Genomic DNA, 16668 nt, shown 5'->3' on the forward strand with positions numbered 1-16668 from the left:
GGTTGATGTTTCAGATGAATGGAAGTTTAAATTAATAGATTAAAATCCATCCTTAGAATTCTAACACCGTCAAGATGTGGCTGGTTAATAGGTAATTTAATGTAGCTAAAAGAATAAAACTTGTTTAAAAACAGGAGGCTCTATTTTCCAAAACAAATTTTGGTGGTCACTAGTGTTAGTTACGAATTTTATCTCTCTTCTTCAGGATTGCATTTCCTGCCTCTTTGAGATTAGGCATGGCCACATGGCTTGCTTTGGCCAATGAAACGTGAGAGAAAGTGTCAGGTGTCAGTCCTGGGTGAAAACTTTATGCATGAGTGTGCTATGAGTCACACTTTCTTTCTTTCTTTCTGATGTTATATCCAGAAAGGCTTGTGATAGTGGCTACTGCATTGGCCTGAATCCCTGAGTAAGGGCCAGGGAAGTAGAGTCCCTGTCAACCCGAGGTGATCATGTAGCATGAATGAGCAATATAGCTTTGTTGTTTGAGGCCAGTGAAATTCTGGGATTATTTTTCCCCCATGTAACTGAGCCCATGCAGGAGTGACAAGTTCCTGATAACCTCATGCTAAAACACAAAAAGAATAGTCTCACAAAAATACTACATGAGGAATACAGTAGTCCCCCCTCATCTCTGGGGGATACATTCCAAGACCCCCTGTGAATGCTTGAAACATGGATAGTACCCAACCCTGTATATGCTATGTTTTTTTCCTATACATACCTACCTATGATAAAGTTTAATTTATAAATTAGGCACAGAGATGAAAAACTAATAAAATACAACAATTATAACAGTATGCTACCATAATCACTCTTGTGCTTTGGGGCCATTATTGAGTAAAATAAGGGTTCCTCAAGACAAGCACTGCAGTACAGTGACAGTTGATCTGATAATCTAGATGGCTACAAAGTGACTAATGGGTGGGGAGGCAGACAGCACGGATCCCCTGAACAAAGGGATGATTCACATCCTTGGTGGGACGGAGCAGGAAGGCTGGAGATTTCATCAAGCTACTCACAGCAGCATGCCATTTAAAATTCATGAATTATTTATTTCTGGAATTTTCCGTTTAATATTTTTGGACCACAATTGACCTCAGGTAACTGAAACTATGGGTAAGGGGGCCTACTATATTATATTTGGGAGTTGCATTTCTGATCAAGGACTAAGCAGCAAATAAACCTAACAATCATACATATGACCTGTAGGTGTTATAGAGAAACAATTTTACTTTAGAGTAGATATATTTATAAAATAGAAATTCAACAGCTATAAAATTTCATTATAATTTAAAAGTCTTTTTTATTTTTTTGAGACAGAGTCTCACTTTGTAACCCAGGCTGGAGTGCAGTGGTACGATCTCAGCTCACTGCAACCTCCACCTCCCGGGTTCAAGTGATTCTCCTGCCTCAGCCTCCTGAGTACCTGGGATTACAGGCATGCGCCATCACAACCAGCTAACTTTTGTATTTTTAGTAGAGATGGGGTTTCACTATGTTGGCCGGGCTGTTCTCGAACTGCTGACCTCAAGTGATCCAGCCACCTCGGCCTCCCAAAGTGCTGGGATTACAGGTATGAGCCACCATGTCAGGACATAATTTAAAATAGTCTTATGCAATGCACACTGATTCTGTAAGAAACCCCAACTATGCTGTGTCATTAGTTTTACCTTCCATAAATAATAGAATTTTAGAAACTTGATTTTGTTGTTGTTGTTTCTTTTTGTTGTTTGCCTTCCTTTCCTGAGCTTTGAGGAGCTCTGGTGGAGAGCAGGGAATGGAGGTGGCAGGAGGGGAAATGAGTTGATGCCTTTTTTATCTTATGACAAATATTCCTGCTAGGTTCTAAAATCATTCAAACTACTCTCAAAATTGCATTTGTCTGTTTCAAGAAGTCATGGCATCCAAATAGTTGAAGACCTCTTTGAGTATTTTCATTCTGCACACTTGTAGGGCGGGGATTCTTGAGTTGGATTTGTCTGGTCCACTTTCTTAGCAGGTTTGTTTTCCTCTTTCTTCTTCCCATTAAACAACAGTGGGTTACATTTAAGGTAAAGAAATTGGATCACAGAGTGTCCGAGGGCTGTGGGAAGGAGGGAGATAGTGGCCTTTGCACGTCTGCTTTGAGGATAATTTTGTGTATTTTTCGAAAAACCGTTCCGTTTATTTTTTAGCACTAGGTGGTAAAGACTTAGTTCCCACAAGCCTCCCTGAGTTGGTTCCTAGTTCTGGCAGCAGTGGCCTCTCAGGAAGTTACTAGAAACTTCAAAACAGCCAAAAGAGAGTCCTGAGTGTTCTTCAGTGAAGTACTAGGTTTAATTTTCCATGGGTTGCCTATTTTAAAACTATGCAGACAAGATTAACTTGTGGATTTTTTCCAAAAGAAGCTGCAAAAAATTTCTGTCTCATGGAAGAATCATCCCTGAAAAGTTTCTTGCCTGGTAAGACATGGACCAGTTATTTTTTTTAAATAGATACCCAGATTCTCAAAATTTTTTTAAAAAATGAGTCCTAACATCTTACTGTTTACCTTATTAATTAGTAAGTTAAATAAAATATATGAGTATTCTTTTTATATTTGTCTGAGAGTCATGATTGCAGCAAAGGCAGGCAGGGAAACTGCATTGTCCATCTTCATGCTGGACCATGGCAGAAATTTAAAGCCAACAAAGCCAAATTAAAAGCTGAATTTAAAGCCAACATTGATATATAATTCACATACCATAAACTTTACCTGTCTTCAGTCTTTTAGGACTGGAAGTAGTTTTCAAATGATCGAAAAACATTCTAGGAAGAGAAAAACTAAGCTATTCGAGGGCAGTTTTGCTCAGTGTCTCAGGACGGTAACATCACCCCTAGGTTTCTGATGGTCGTTGGATTAAGGAAGGTGTTTGTGAATCTTTGTTTCCCATAAATGTCATCAGGGCTCTGCTTCACACAGGGGTTGTATCCAACCAGAGCATTCTGTTTTATTTGGTCTGAGTTTGCTGATGTTCTGTGACAACCAGCTCCGGATGTTTTATAAACAATTAACCTGACAGTTTGATGGATGAGGGTAACATTTGGGTATCATCTGCACTACAATGAAAGACAGATGATTATTTTTGACAGAAACGATCACCACTCACAATGTGGAAATGGTGAAGCCAGATCCCCGAGGCTCACACTGTCTATAGAATTAGGGCCAGATCAAAACCCACTTGAGAGTAGGCCCAATAGCCTGGGTGACGGACCCGATTTGGGCATTGGATGTGAGCTGCAAAGGCACACAATGTGTTTTAGAAAAGCCTATGTTTGCAGTTCCAAATGTGAGTGAAACAAAGAGAAAGAAAGGCAAGTCCAGCTCTGGCAACACTAAAATCAACAGGCCAGCATTGGCCCTGGGATTCATTTTAATTCACAACGTAGTTTTTAATGTTCTTTAAGTTTTGTGTCCTATTTTATTTCTTAATCAATTTTTAAAAATTGGCATATAATTCACATACCATAAACTTCATCTGTTAAAATGTACAATTCAGTGGTTTTTAGTATTTTCGTAGATATGTGCAACCATCACTCTCTTTCCAGAATATCCTTTCCATCACCCCAAAAGGAAAGCCTGTACTCATTAACAGTCATTTTCCCCCAAACCCTGGCAACATGAATCTACTTTCTATCTCTATGGGTTTGCCTATTCTGGAGTTTCATGTAAATGGAATTATCTAATATTGGTATTTTGTGTTTGGCTTAATTGACATAGAATAATGTTTTTGAGGTTCATCCATGTTGTCACGTGTATCAATATTTTATTCCTTTTTATGGCCAAATAATATTCCATCATATGGATAGACCCTATTTTGTTTATCCATTCATCAGCTGATGGACATTGGGCTTGTTTCTACTTTTTGGCTCTTATGAGTAATGCTGCTACAATTATTCATGCACAGGTTTTTGTGTGAGCATATGTTTTTCCATTCTCCTGGGTATATGCCTGGAAGAGAAATTGCAGTATAAATGGTAACTCTATGTTTAACTTTTGAAGGAACTATCCATTAGATTTTTAAATAAATCAGGTGAGTATCAGTGTGTCTTCTCATCTCTGTAAACAATCTGAATTCTTTGGGAAGAAGATGGTGATAGTAGAAAAATGTATAGACCAAGTGGTTTGTGGAATGCAGTGAGTGGGAACTGTCCCTGCAGGTGTCTGAGTCTATGACAGCAGCAGAGATACTGGTTTCTTTTTGGGAGGGAAGCATATCCATGTTGCAGCCAAGGAGCAGGCACATCTGCCACTAGCCAGTGGGGATGGGTGGGATGACTGATTTTTTCCTTTTTTTTTTTTTTTTTTGACGGAGTCTTGCTCTTTCAAACAGGCTAGGGTACAGTGGCACAATCTTGGCTCACTGCAACTTCCACCTCCCAGGTTCAAGCAATTCTCCTGCCTCAGCCTCCCAAGTAGCTGGGCTTACAGGCATGAGCCACCATGCCTGGTTAATTTTTGTATTTTTAGTAGAGATGGGTTTTACCATGTTGGCCAGGCTGGTCTCAAACCCTTGACCTCAGGTGATCTGCCCACCTTGGCCTCCCAAACTGCTAGGATTACAGGCGTGAGCCACTATGCCCAGTCAATATTCCCATTTTTTTAAATAAAACATCAGCCAATCCAGAGAAATACATTTTGTACCTACTATGTATGTTGCACACTGTGCGATTGCTCTGAAGGGTACTAAGAAGTATAACACAATGACCTTGGCTCTCTAGGACTGGATAGCTTAGTCCTGGGAACCAGATACACACGTCCTGCAAAAATGTCTTAACCAAATATCAAGTCGTATAGTATAGATTATAGGTTTTCTAGGGAACAGAGCATTCAGTGTGGGCTGTGAATATATGTGGGGGTCCCATATTCATAGTTTCCTCCAGGAAAGGGTAATGTGAAACTAAACTGGGTCTAATTGTACATATGTGATTCATCTTGGAATGGAAGAAGCATCTACTTTGCTTCCTTTTCCTCCCCCAGGCACTGTCTGTCCCCAAATTCATAAGACCAATGAACCCTGCTGGGACAACGATAGGATTTGTTTTGATCACATGGTAATTTTGAGCAAGAGGGCCTGGAAGACATATGGGCCTTGTTCCAATGTTCTATGAAGAGCAACGTGTCCCCTGGGCGAGTCACCCGACCTTCTAGACTCTGGCCATAGAAAAAAGTGGGCTTTTCTGGACACCAGATGCCTCCATGATTTGATTTCTTTTTGGTATATGACTCACATGGAATGATTTTAAAAATTGCTGTGGACCAAGTAGTGTTTCTGTCCTTTTCTGCAGCTGAATCTGGGCACATGAAGATGAAGCTGAATCAGTATTTTTTCTACACTTAATTCAATTCAGCACAGCAGGATCTGGATGAGGCAGGAAATGAGGAAGCAGAGGAACCCAGGGTGAATGTGAGAGACGAAAGTTCTGGTTCAGCTTAAAGTTAAACCAACACAAGGGTTAGATGGGGCATTGTGTAAATCAGCATTTTGTTTCTGAATCAGAGACAGAGACATTTTGGGTAACAGAGATAGGAGACATTTGAGCTGCTTAGGGGAGTTTTGTTCTAAGGTCATACTTGAATTTCTTAGAAATCAGAGTTCCTATCATTTTCCCAAAGAACACAGTGAGGATTTGGCCTCCTAGTCATTACTGATCAATTTAATACCATGTTAACAGTAGTATAGCAGTTTTGCAAAAAAAGGAGGAAAAATCCCAGAGTTCTTTGGATTTAATAACATATAGTAATTTAGAGCAGATACATTTAATACCAGTGTTCAAGGCTAGCTACATATGGCATGGAAAATATGTTTTAAGTTGGTCAAATCCAACACATTGGAAAATAAGTGAATCAGCTATAAATCTCTGAGAAAGGCAAAGCCATAGGGGTGGACCTCCAGTTTGTTGGAGGTTTCACATGGAGTGGCCCCCAAGTCACTAGAGTTTGAGGTTCCTTTTGCATGTCTGGAAAGGCCTTTGAAAATCAAGCATGAGAACTATTTTATGAGAGCTTACTATGTGAGCCAGGCACCATTTTGAGTATTTTCCATGTATTAATTCCTTTAATCCTCAAAACAATTCTATAAGCATGGTGGATGCAAGTTACTCTCAAATCATTCAGAAAAAAAATTTAAAAAACAGAGAGAGGGAAAGAAAGAGAAGGAGAAAGCAAGTGGGGAAAATGCTACACAGGAGGAATGTGAATAAAGAATAAATAGGGCTGGGTGCATTGGCTCGCACCTGCAATCCCAACACTTTGGGAAGGTGATGCGCAGGTGGGTCACTTGAGCCTGGAAGTTTGAGACTAGTCTGGACAAATGGTGAAAGCCCAACTCTACAAAAAATACAAAAATTAGCTGGATGTGGTGGCATGTGCCTGTGGTCCCAGCTACTCTGGATGCTGAGGTGGGAGGATTGCTTGAGCCCCAAATGTCGAGGCTTCAGTGAGCCAAGATCGTACCACCACTCTCCAACCTGGGCAACAGAGTGAGACCCTGTCTCCAAAAAAAAAATTAAAGAATAAAAATGAGGAAATAGGATTTCTTTGTACTAATCTAGCTCTAAGTTTGAAACTATATCAAAATAAACACTTAACAAAAGTACCCCTATGAAGAAGATGTTATTCTCATTTTAGAGATGAAAAAACTGAGGCACAGAGAAGTTAAGTAACTTGCTTTTGGCCCCCTGATACCAAGTGGTGGAGCTCGGATTCTAGATCATGGTTCAGGGAGGTTGATAGGGAAAGAAACACAGATATAGAAATACTATTAGTTGTTCAAGGGGTTATTTTGATCTTTGTTGACAACTTCATACTACAGACCGAATATTTGTGTCACCACCCCAACCCCAAATTTACAGATTAAAATTCTCACCCCCAATATGATGGTATTTGGAGCCCTTGGAGGTGATTAGGGCATGAAGGTGAAACCCTCTTGAATGGAATTAGAGAGCCCTCACTTCTTCCACCATGTGAGAACACAGTGAGATGACGGCCATCTGTGAACTAGGAAGAAGCCCCTCATCAGATGGCAAATCCTCTGGCATCCTGATCTTGGACTTCTCAGCCTCTAGAACTGTGAGAAATATATTTGTTGTTTATAGGTAACCCAATTTACAGTATGTTGTAAAAGAAGCTCTAACAGACAAAGTCACCCCGGAAGCATAATTTTGGTCTTGTCACCAAGCTTAGCATTTGGGTGCTTGGGCAAATCTAGTGGAGAGGCAGGCAGGCTACAGGAAGTGGAAACTATGAGAGCCAGGAGGTGCCTAAGATATCATCTGATTGATTGCTCTGCGAAGTGTGGTCCTTGCACTGCTGCTGGCCCAGACACTGTTACCTTTTTTTGGCCAGATAAGTACAGAAAGTATGGGTAAGCATTTAGAATTCTTATAGAAATTTGACATTGCTGCACCTTCCAAACATCATTCTTCTGGTAATTCATTTTTTTATTGTATTTCACAAAAACACAGTCTACAATAGATTGGGGTGGGGGGAAGAAAGGAAAAATGTGTTCCTTCATTACACATTTAGTTTGAGAAGCAGTGGTCTAGTCATATTCTATTTACAGGTGAGACAACCAAGGCTTGGAGAAGTATTCTGAGAGCTGTTTCAAGGTCTCATAATTATACAGTGGGAGAAGAGGATCTAGAACTGGGTCTTCTGCTTCTAGCTCTGGTGCCTAGCAATCTTTAAGGGATGCCATTCCTACTGAGCCATCACATTCTAGGCAGCCATAAGGGCAGCCTAGGATCCATCTCTCCTTTATCTGCAAGTTGCCCCTGGGTACCAAAATAGGAGCCAGAGCTCTGGCTAAAGACTGCCCATATCAGTCTTTGTTGGATTCAAGCTCTGGGGTTAGGGAGAGAGGACATCTCTCTGGGAACATTGCTGCTGACATCTCATTGTTCCCTGCCTTTACTGCTCACTTGCTAGTTATTACTTGGAAAAGATTGATCACTGGTGAGAAGAAATAGGAATTCAGGTTATTAGGAACGTTTCCCAAGGATATAGCACCTTTTTAATCCCACAGAAGTTCATAAATTTTCCAGCTGTGCCAGAGGCACATGGTTGCAGAGCGTGAAAGCCAACTGGCACTCTAAATGGAACAAGTGGAAAATTCTGCCTGTGAAAGCCAAAAGGAATTCTTCACCTTAATTAAGAAAAAGCTCTGCAATATTGAAAGTCTAGGTAGAAAAGACAAGACTTGGCATCTGACTTCTTTAAAATGAACTCTGCTTAATTAGGACTTAGTTAACATAAATTGGAAAAGATCAAGACCAAAGCCCATTGAATTGGGTCCAGTTTAGGAATTAAAACTGTACAGTTCAACTCCTGCCCTTGACAGCAGTTCTGCCTTCTTAGTTTTATAGGTAACAAACTTGATCCCCTTCCTAAGGGAATGTGCGTAAGCTATCTGCTTCTCTAGGGGAAATGAACTCTAGTGATTTTGAGAGATTACATTTAAAGGGCAATTTTCATTTACAGTTATCTGATTCAATACGTGTGGAGCTTTGCATCAACCAAGAACTTGTTTAGGGCCACTCTTGGTGTCCGGCTGCTTGCAAAAGTCAAATCAGTAAGCTATGTAGGACAAAATGTTACTCAGGTTGAATCACTTCATATTAATGAAATGTAAATAAAACCAGAGAAAGGGAAATTTTAGAAATCCAAATAAACACCCTTAATGTGATTTGTCTTCCCAAACAGTTCCCTGGATTCTCTTTTCTGTGTGGTCATGTCTCAAATGCCTTTTAGTGATAACCCTGAATACTCCACATTTCAACAAGATACAAACATTTCTCTCTTGTGTTCTTATTTGCTGTTTCTGTTAGAAACATGAAAACCACATCAACTAGATGGAAATCCTAGAGGAATTTAAGAAGAAAAGATCAATTGTTTGACAATAAACGTGGTAAATCCCATGTGATCAAATAAATGCTTATACATGAAAGCAAGAATATTGTACTTTGAACTCTTAACTATAAAGTTGGGCTAAAAATGATTGGGCAGACCTGTTGGTAGGGGAAGCTGTATTTCAACACAAAATCTAAAAAGTCTTAGATGATGAGGCAAAGATCAGTGGACATGTGAGAGCTGACATTTTCTACTACTGAGGTTGTTTTGTTCTTGGTTTAAGAAAATGGATCTGGGATAATCTAGTTTTTATGAACTCCTGCAAACGAAGCGGCTTTAGTTACGTTGCAGTTGTTGAAAAGGACTGACCCTTCCCTGTAGCTTTGATGTGCAGTGTGAATTTGGCAAAGGGAACTTAAGTTTGCCTTTCAGTGCTGAATGGCACCATTACCGAGGCTCATGTATCTGTCAGAAAAATCACTTCTCTCCTGGTAAAGCCCCTTCTGTCTCAGGATCATGTGAGATTCACCACACAACACTCACTAAACATGGTATCATTTTTACGTAATGAGGGAGTGAGAACTGGAACCTGATTTCATATTTTTTCCCACAGATTTTACTTTCTACTCTTGTCAGTCATATCTGCAAGGCTGACAGTTACCAGGGGCTGTGGCCAGGCATGAGGGAGAATGTGTCATTGCTGGCTGCGTTGGTCATAGCAACGTGTCTGCCTCAGAACAGATCCAGCATGGATGAGCAAACAGAAAAATGTGTAAGAAGGCTTGTGACTGAAACAGACCAAGGGTGAGTGCCGGGACTGTCCATCAGAAACTTTCAATGATCAGTAACAGGATATTCACACAGTCATTTTACTTTTCAATAACTTATCAAGTTGACAAGCAAATAATTAATAATGGTTTGTCACTGGTTGGCAACTTCTAAAAAAGTCTATGGCTGAGAAGGACACTCATTTCTCATAACCTCAGCCAGTACTGAATTACAATGCCAATCAGCAAATGTATCAAACGCCAGAACACTGTTAGCAGCAGCTGAGGCATCAGTATGAGTGAGACATATTTCTTATTCACAACAGAAACTCAGAGTCAGTGGAAGAAAAATATGTAAACACATTTTTCTAATGCAATAAGATGAGGGCTATAATAAATGTATGAAAAAAAGTGCTACAGGAACACAGATGGAGGGTTGATTGATTCTGCTTGGGAAAGTCTGAGAACGCATCACAGGGAAAGAGAATTTAGCTTCTTCGAAAGATGAGTAGAATTTATTAAAAAGGAGGTTATTTTAAGCAAAGAAGTGCATCATATGCGAAGGATGATGTCAAGGATGTGCTTGTCATTTTCAGGGTGTAAGCGTAGAGCAGTTTCATTGTCATTATCTCTGTGTGTTCAAGAGGTACATTCTCCCAATAAATCTAATTTTCAGGACTATTGTCTTCCTTTGGACTCAAAATCTAATTTGCAATGCAAATCTGAGCAGTGACTTCCTTGTTTCAACGGTCTCAGACTGCCCCTAGAAATGATGAATGCATGGGTCCCATAGGTGAATGCATTGGTCCACAGGCAGAGAGAATGGAGTTCCAAGTCAGTCAGGCCAAGGTTCAACACAAGGAGGTGGGAACTTCAGACTGGAAGCTGAAGCAGTTTCTATGGTCATTAGCGGCAGAGGCCAGCCCAGAAGACCAGGGAGACTTCACTCCAGTAGAGGCCAGAAGAAGATTCCCACTATCGGCTTCAGATTCCTCTTTTGTAAAATGAGCTAGTTTGACTAGATCTGTTGCTGGCAAACTTTGTTTCCTAGGCCCCAGGGTTCCATGAAGGTTCTTCTGTGGCTGGTGATGAGAAAGAGTAAGGCCAACTTGGGAAGGCTAAACCTCCTCCACCCCTTCACTTCACTAGAGTAGTCTGATTTCATTTGTTTTCATATTGGCAATCCACATAAGATAAGTTTGAAAATGGTATATTTTACAGTTCAGACAAAAAGGAAAACCTTGGAATAGAGAATTAAGTGCTGGTTCTCTGGGATTCCAAGCCTCCTTTACTTCCTCTGAAATCCCATAGTACTTGATTTATGCCTCTTTATAACACTCATTTTTACCCTGTGTTATTTTTTATGTTTCAAAGACGTGCACTTGTTTTTTCTCTTATGGATGTTTTTGCTCAATGAAGGCAAGTACATGGTGGCTAAACCTTCCCAGACACACTGGCCTTCTTCCTGTTCCTCAGATTCACTAAACTCATACTCTAGTGTCTTTGCATTTGTGATTTTTCTCTATCCAGAATATGTTTTCCCAGATCTCCATGAAATTTTCTCCTTCACCTATTTTAGGGATCTTCTCAAATGTGACCTTATCTGATGAAATTTCCTAAACACCTTACATATATATAAAATGTAATTCCTATTCTCCTTACACACTCTGTCACACACACACACACACACACACACACACACGTCTATTCTGTTTTAGTTTTTCCATAGCACTTAACATCACTTGACATATTTTATATTTCATTATTTGTTTCACGTCCGTCTCATCCACTAGAATGTAAATTCCAGGGGCCAGAGACCTTTCTGTGTTGGTCACTGATCTATCCTGGACACCTGGAACAGCGTCTGACATGGAGTTACCACCCAGTCACTGGAAGTATTTGAGACTCAGTTCCTGTCCAGCCAAGACCTCCTATTAGATAAAAATAAGATCCCTCTTGCAGTGACTGACAGTTCAGCCATGTTTTCTCATTGTCTATAACGTCCAAACCAGTGTGCCAACACAAACCACCTCCTCTAGTACAGTCTGAATAGAATTGTAAAGAGAGAGCATGGGATTTGGAGATGGAAGATTTGGATTTCAGTCTTAACCGTCATATACTAGTGGGGTGCTTTTAGGCAAGTGACTTAATCTCTCCAAGCTTTAATTTCCCCACCTGTAAAAATGAGGTAATAATTGACCTGTCATATAAGGTTGCTATGAGGATTATCACAAGTAAAATGTGTGAAAAGCGGTTTGCAATTTGCAAAAGACCACGTTAGATGTGGCTTCTGGAAAATGAAGCAGTAGAGAAACAGGACTCTAAGTTGCCCTTAAGCCAATACTAGTACTTCTGGCAACTACCTAATTCCTCTGGAAATGGGGATAAGGATACCCCTTTCTGTTTGAAGGTGGAGAAGTGAATCAGATGATCTAACTGAAATTCCTTCCAGCTTTATGATTCATGATTTTATGTTTGTGATGAAATCAGTAAGAAAATATTGAGCACAGAAAGTATTTTTACTGATACTACAAGGTTTTCAAATGAGTAGTCCCCCTAAACAGTCTCTTTTAGCCCTGTAGAATCATCTGTTACCATATGTAATGGAAAGGCAACTTTATTTCAAGATTTATGCTAATTTCTGTTTCCTCATATTTATACTATGTGCCTTAGCCCCATAGATTCAGAAAATAAATTATATATCTATGGAATGCATTTGGCACTTAGCTTAAATTGCCTTTCCCACTAAACTATTTTTTGTTTATTACCATTGATATAAAATGCTTGAACGCTCAGAAGGCAGTGTGTTCAGAGGCAATGAACACTTAAAAAGGAGTTAAGAATTTAAGTTCTTGTCATGGTTCTGTCACTAGCCAGTTAAGCAGCCTCAGGCAAGTTGCCATCTCTCTGGGCCTCAGTTTCCATATGCATGAGTATGTGTGTGTACATATTACATATATATTTATATATGCTGTATGTAATGGGGAGGGGAGAAGTCACATGAAGTACCAACTGCAGACTCAGGAAGAGAACTGCCTTTGCTTCAGAACACACCTTATATGGGCATGTTTGGTTATGAAAATGAGACCTACTGACCATAGCTTGACTGGGCTAGGACTGAAACAAAAAGGAATATGTTTCTCTACGTTATAGAAGAAAAAGATACTGATGAGGTGACCCGGGAAGAGAGAGATGCTGGAGAAGGGGCTATGAGCAGGAGGAGACAGGGGAGCAAGGCCCAGTAAAAAATAACCAGAGGCTGGGACTCGAATGAAGAAATAAATAGACACCGAGAAGCTCTGAGTGATGGGAAAGCTCTGAGTGAGGGGATAAAGCAAGTGGGGAAAATGCTACACAGGAGGAATGTGAATAAAGAATAAATAGGGCTGGGTGCATTGGCTCGCACCTGCAATCCCAACACTTTGGGAAGGTGACGTGCAAGTGGGTCATTTGAGCCTGGGAGTTTGAGACTAGTCTGGACAAATGGTGAAACACTGACTCTACAAAAAATACAAAAATTAGCTGGATGTGGTGGCAAGTGCCTGTGGTCCCAGCTACTCTGGATGCTGAGGCAGGGGAATTGCTTGAACCCGGGAGACAGACGTTGCAGTGAGCCGAGATCACGCCATTGCACTCCAGCCTAGTGACAGAGCAAGACTCCGTCCCAAAACAGGGACAACTGATGTCTGGTGAGGAGACATTTTCCTGATGGACTGGGAGCACATCCACTGGACTAATAGATGTATTTGTGCTGGATTTGTGTTCTCTTCCTAACACACTTTGTCTCCCTCTTCTAGGCCCTGCTCTCTGCTAGATTTTCTCTTTCCTTAGTGTCCTCATGGCTATGCTTGGGGTGCCAAGTCCTTGGCTCTCCAGTTGCAATTGCAGTTGCTTTTTTTTTTTTTTTGAGACGGAGTCTTGATCTGTTACTAGGCTGGAGTGCAGTGGTGCAATCTCGGCTCACGACACCCTCGCCTCCCGGGTTCAAGCGATTCTCCTGCCTCAGCCTCCCAAGTAGCTGGGATTACAGGTATGTGCCACCACGCCCAGCTAATTTTTGTATTTTTAGTAGAGACAGGGTTTCAACATGTTGGCCAGGATGGTCTTGATCTCCTGACCTCGTGATCCACCCACCTCGGCCTCCCAGTGGAAATTGCATTTTTAAGAACAACTCTTTTCAGAGGAGCAGTGGATGACGTTGGTGCTCCCAGTCAGACCTCCCAGGATCTTTTTTCTTTTTGAGGTGGAGTCTCCCTCTGTCACCTAGGCTGGTGTGCAGTGGCGCCATCTCAGCTCACTGCAACCTCTGCCTCCTAGGTTCGAGTGATTCTCCTGCCTCAGCCTCCTGAGTAGCTGGGATTACAGGCACGCGCCACCACTCCTGGATGAGTTTTGTATTTTTAGTAGAGGTGGAGTTTCACCATGTTGGTCAGGCTGGTCTCGAACTCCTGACCTCGTGATCCACCTGTCTCGGCCTCCCAAAGTGTTGGGATTACAGACATAAGCCACTGTGCCCGGGTGATCTTTTTTTCTTTACCATTTTCGTGTACACTCATATACCCCTTTGCTGTGCATTTGCTTCTAACTCACGGCTTCTGAAGCTCTTTCGAGAACTGCTTTCAGGTTGCCAGGGCCTGTGCAGAGAGCCCCTCCAGCCACAGCACCTGGGCATTTATTCTCTCCACCCCGCTTGTGGCCTTGATGAATGGCCTACAAGTGAGGTAGGTATGAAAGCCCAGTGCTCTTGCTTTTCTTGCCTCTGGTACAAATTGGAGGCATAACTTACACTCCAGAGGTCCCCTGCAGGATCAGGCCAAGACTACCCTCTGTAGGACTTGCCTGCAACAACACCCTTGTTTGGCTTCCTCCCCTTCCTGCTGTCCTCCCTGACTTAAATTTTTATTTTAGGTTTGGGGGTACATGTGAAAGTTTGTTACATAGATAAATGGGTGTCACAGGGGTTTGTTGTACATACTATTTCATCACTCAGATATTAAGCTCAGTACCCAATAGTTATCTTTTCTGCTCCTCTCCCTCCTCCCACCCTCCCCTCTCAGGTAGACTCCAGTTTCTGTTGTTTCCTTCTTTGTGTTCTTATCATTTAGCTCCTGCTTGTAAGTGAGAACATGCAGTATTTGGTTTTCTGTTCCTGTGTTAGTTTGCTAAGGATGACAGGTTCCAGCTCCATCCATATTCCCACAGAAGACATGATCTTGTTCTTTTTTATGGCTGCATAATATTCCATCGTGTATATGTACCACATTTTCTTTATCCAGTCTGTCATTGATTGGCATTTAGGTTGCTTCCATGTCTTTGCTAGTGTGAAGAGTGCTGCAGTGAACATTTCTGTGCATGTGTCTTTATGGTGGAATGCTTTATATTCTTCTGGGTGTATACTCAGTAATGAGATTCCTGGGTCGAATGGCAGTCCTGAGAAGCAGTCTTAATAAATCACTTGCTCACAAACCCTGAATCCACATCTCAGGTAGCCCAACCTAAAATCACCCTCTATCTCCTGAAGTGGAGGCTTTTAACTCTTTTTAGGTCATAGATACCTTTAAGTATCTGATAAAAGGTCTCAGCAGTTTTCCTCTTTTTTAAAAATAAGTACTGCTAGTCACAGTGGCTCATGCGTGTAATTCTAGCACTTTGGGAGGCTGAGGCAGGAGGATCACTTGAGCCCAGGAGTTTAAGGCTGCAGTGAGCTATGATTGTGCCACTTCACTCCAGCCTGGGCAACACAGTGAGACCCTGTCTCAAAAAACAGCAACAAAAAAGTGAACATGCCTGTAATTGGTTTGCATTTGTTCTACAGTCTTGGAAATATAGGACAAGCCTCATCCTTGATTTTTGCCAATTGTCTCTGACTCAGCCTTCCACCCACCAGGTGGTTGAGAAATCCAAGGAGGGCCTTTCTTATTCTTCCTCACTCTTCACTTGGGATCATACAGGAAACCTGGTCCAGAAATGCTGGGAAGGGCAGCAGGATTTCGTTCCATACTCTCGGGATTTTGTTCTTCATTCAGGGGTACTGCTGATGATGTGTGGTTCTGCTCAGGGATCTGTGCTCAGGCCCTCAGACTGCAGCACTAGCGTTCAGACTCTCCAGGTGCATAGCAGGAAGCACACACTCAACTTAGATGAGGACTTAATACCTCTGCTGTACTCTGTGTGAGCCCCACCACCAGATCTTACATGGACAGCACCTCTCGCCTCAGTCTCTACCCCAGATCTGTTTTCAGGAACCACCCTGTAGTAGCTTCATGAAGCTACCTCACCCCTACAAACCAGCCATATTCCCTTTGTCTTCCCTCTTCTAGGGCAATTCCATGTCTGCCCTCTGCCTCCAGCAAAGAAATGGATAGTGGTAGTCTCCTGGGCAGAACTGAGTCCAAAGAGCACTGAAAAGTGAAGAACGGCTATCTCTCTAGAAGGAGGAAGGGAAAAGTGCCCTTTTATTCCTCTACAGACAAAAACTAAATAAGGCAGACATTAATGACTCAATAAAATACCATCCCCATACAATATTGTATATGACCCTAGGAAGTTCAGTGTTCTCAGTACTCCAGGTTGTAAACACCTGATCTAAAGGAAAGGAAGTAAGAAAGAAAGCTGTCCCCTATCCTACCTGTACCAGCCAGTGACCAGGATGCTCAACTTTAGAAGTAAAATGTCTCTCCTTGATCTAGAATCTCTCTATCTTATGTCCGTGGCTTCCCCCTCATCCAATACCAAAGCTGTTTTAGTGAAAGAGAAAGTGAGGCAAGGCTACTAGACCCTTTGGTTTTACCAGGGTACCTAATTAACAAGCAAGGACGTGATGTTGGTACCATTTTTTACCATTGTCGGCATCATGTTGCAATTATGACAACACTTGTTGAATCTGTTAAAAACAATGCCATTCAGAGGCTTGTCTCATGAGTTGGTGATAGGCCTTGGGCAAAGTATTTTGGCCAGGTGATGCCAGTGGTAAACATTCCCAATAGTCAGATGGTGGCCAGAGACCATCAGCTTCTCATGAATAGGAAA

The 16668-nt window shown here is 41.6% G+C and overlaps 1 long non-coding RNA gene across 5 annotated transcripts in view, besides 5 other annotated features; it reads left to right on the plus strand.

Moving 5' to 3' along the window:
• Positions 1 to 597: a transcriptional cis regulatory region, noted in NCBI's record as "candidate enhancer chr2.1475 targeted for multiplex CRISPR interference". NCBI's record gives its function as "positively regulates CDC42EP3 gene expression with high confidence in K562 cells {active_cell/tissue: K562}" and the evidence as "EXISTENCE:mutant phenotype evidence [ECO:0000015][PMID:30612741]".
• Positions 755 to 1113: a transcriptional cis regulatory region, noted in NCBI's record as "candidate enhancer chr2.1476 targeted for multiplex CRISPR interference". NCBI's record gives its function as "positively regulates CDC42EP3 gene expression with high confidence in K562 cells {active_cell/tissue: K562}" and the evidence as "EXISTENCE:mutant phenotype evidence [ECO:0000015][PMID:30612741]".
• The window catches only part of LINC03063 (long intergenic non-protein coding RNA 3063), a 50602-nt gene continuing 34903 nt past the window's right edge, over positions 970 to 16668 (plus strand). For 3 of the 5 annotated variants that reach the window (NR_187222.1, NR_187224.1, NR_187220.1), the window contains exons 1-2: positions 970 to 1103; positions 9486 to 9676. This is a non-coding gene — a long non-coding RNA (long intergenic non-protein coding RNA 3063). The remainder of the gene's footprint in view (positions 1104 to 9485; positions 9677 to 16668) is intronic. The other 2 variants (NR_187223.1, NR_187221.1) reach the window with 1 other exon arrangement.
• Positions 9262 to 9571: an enhancer, noted in NCBI's record as "active region_15586". NCBI's record gives its function as "activates an Ori minimal core promoter by ATAC-STARR-seq in GM12878 lymphoblastoid cells {active_cell/tissue: GM12878}" and the evidence as "EXISTENCE:reporter gene assay evidence [ECO:0000049][PMID:35858748]".
• Positions 9672 to 9731: an enhancer, noted in NCBI's record as "active region_15587". NCBI's record gives its function as "activates an Ori minimal core promoter by ATAC-STARR-seq in GM12878 lymphoblastoid cells {active_cell/tissue: GM12878}" and the evidence as "EXISTENCE:reporter gene assay evidence [ECO:0000049][PMID:35858748]".
• Positions 12796 to 12985: an enhancer, noted in NCBI's record as "active region_15588". NCBI's record gives its function as "activates an Ori minimal core promoter by ATAC-STARR-seq in GM12878 lymphoblastoid cells {active_cell/tissue: GM12878}" and the evidence as "EXISTENCE:reporter gene assay evidence [ECO:0000049][PMID:35858748]".

Source organism: Homo sapiens, chromosome 2 (assembly GCF_000001405.40).
Source record: "Homo sapiens chromosome 2, GRCh38.p14 Primary Assembly".
In the NCBI taxonomy this organism is placed as follows: Eukaryota; Metazoa; Chordata; class Mammalia; order Primates; family Hominidae; genus Homo; species Homo sapiens.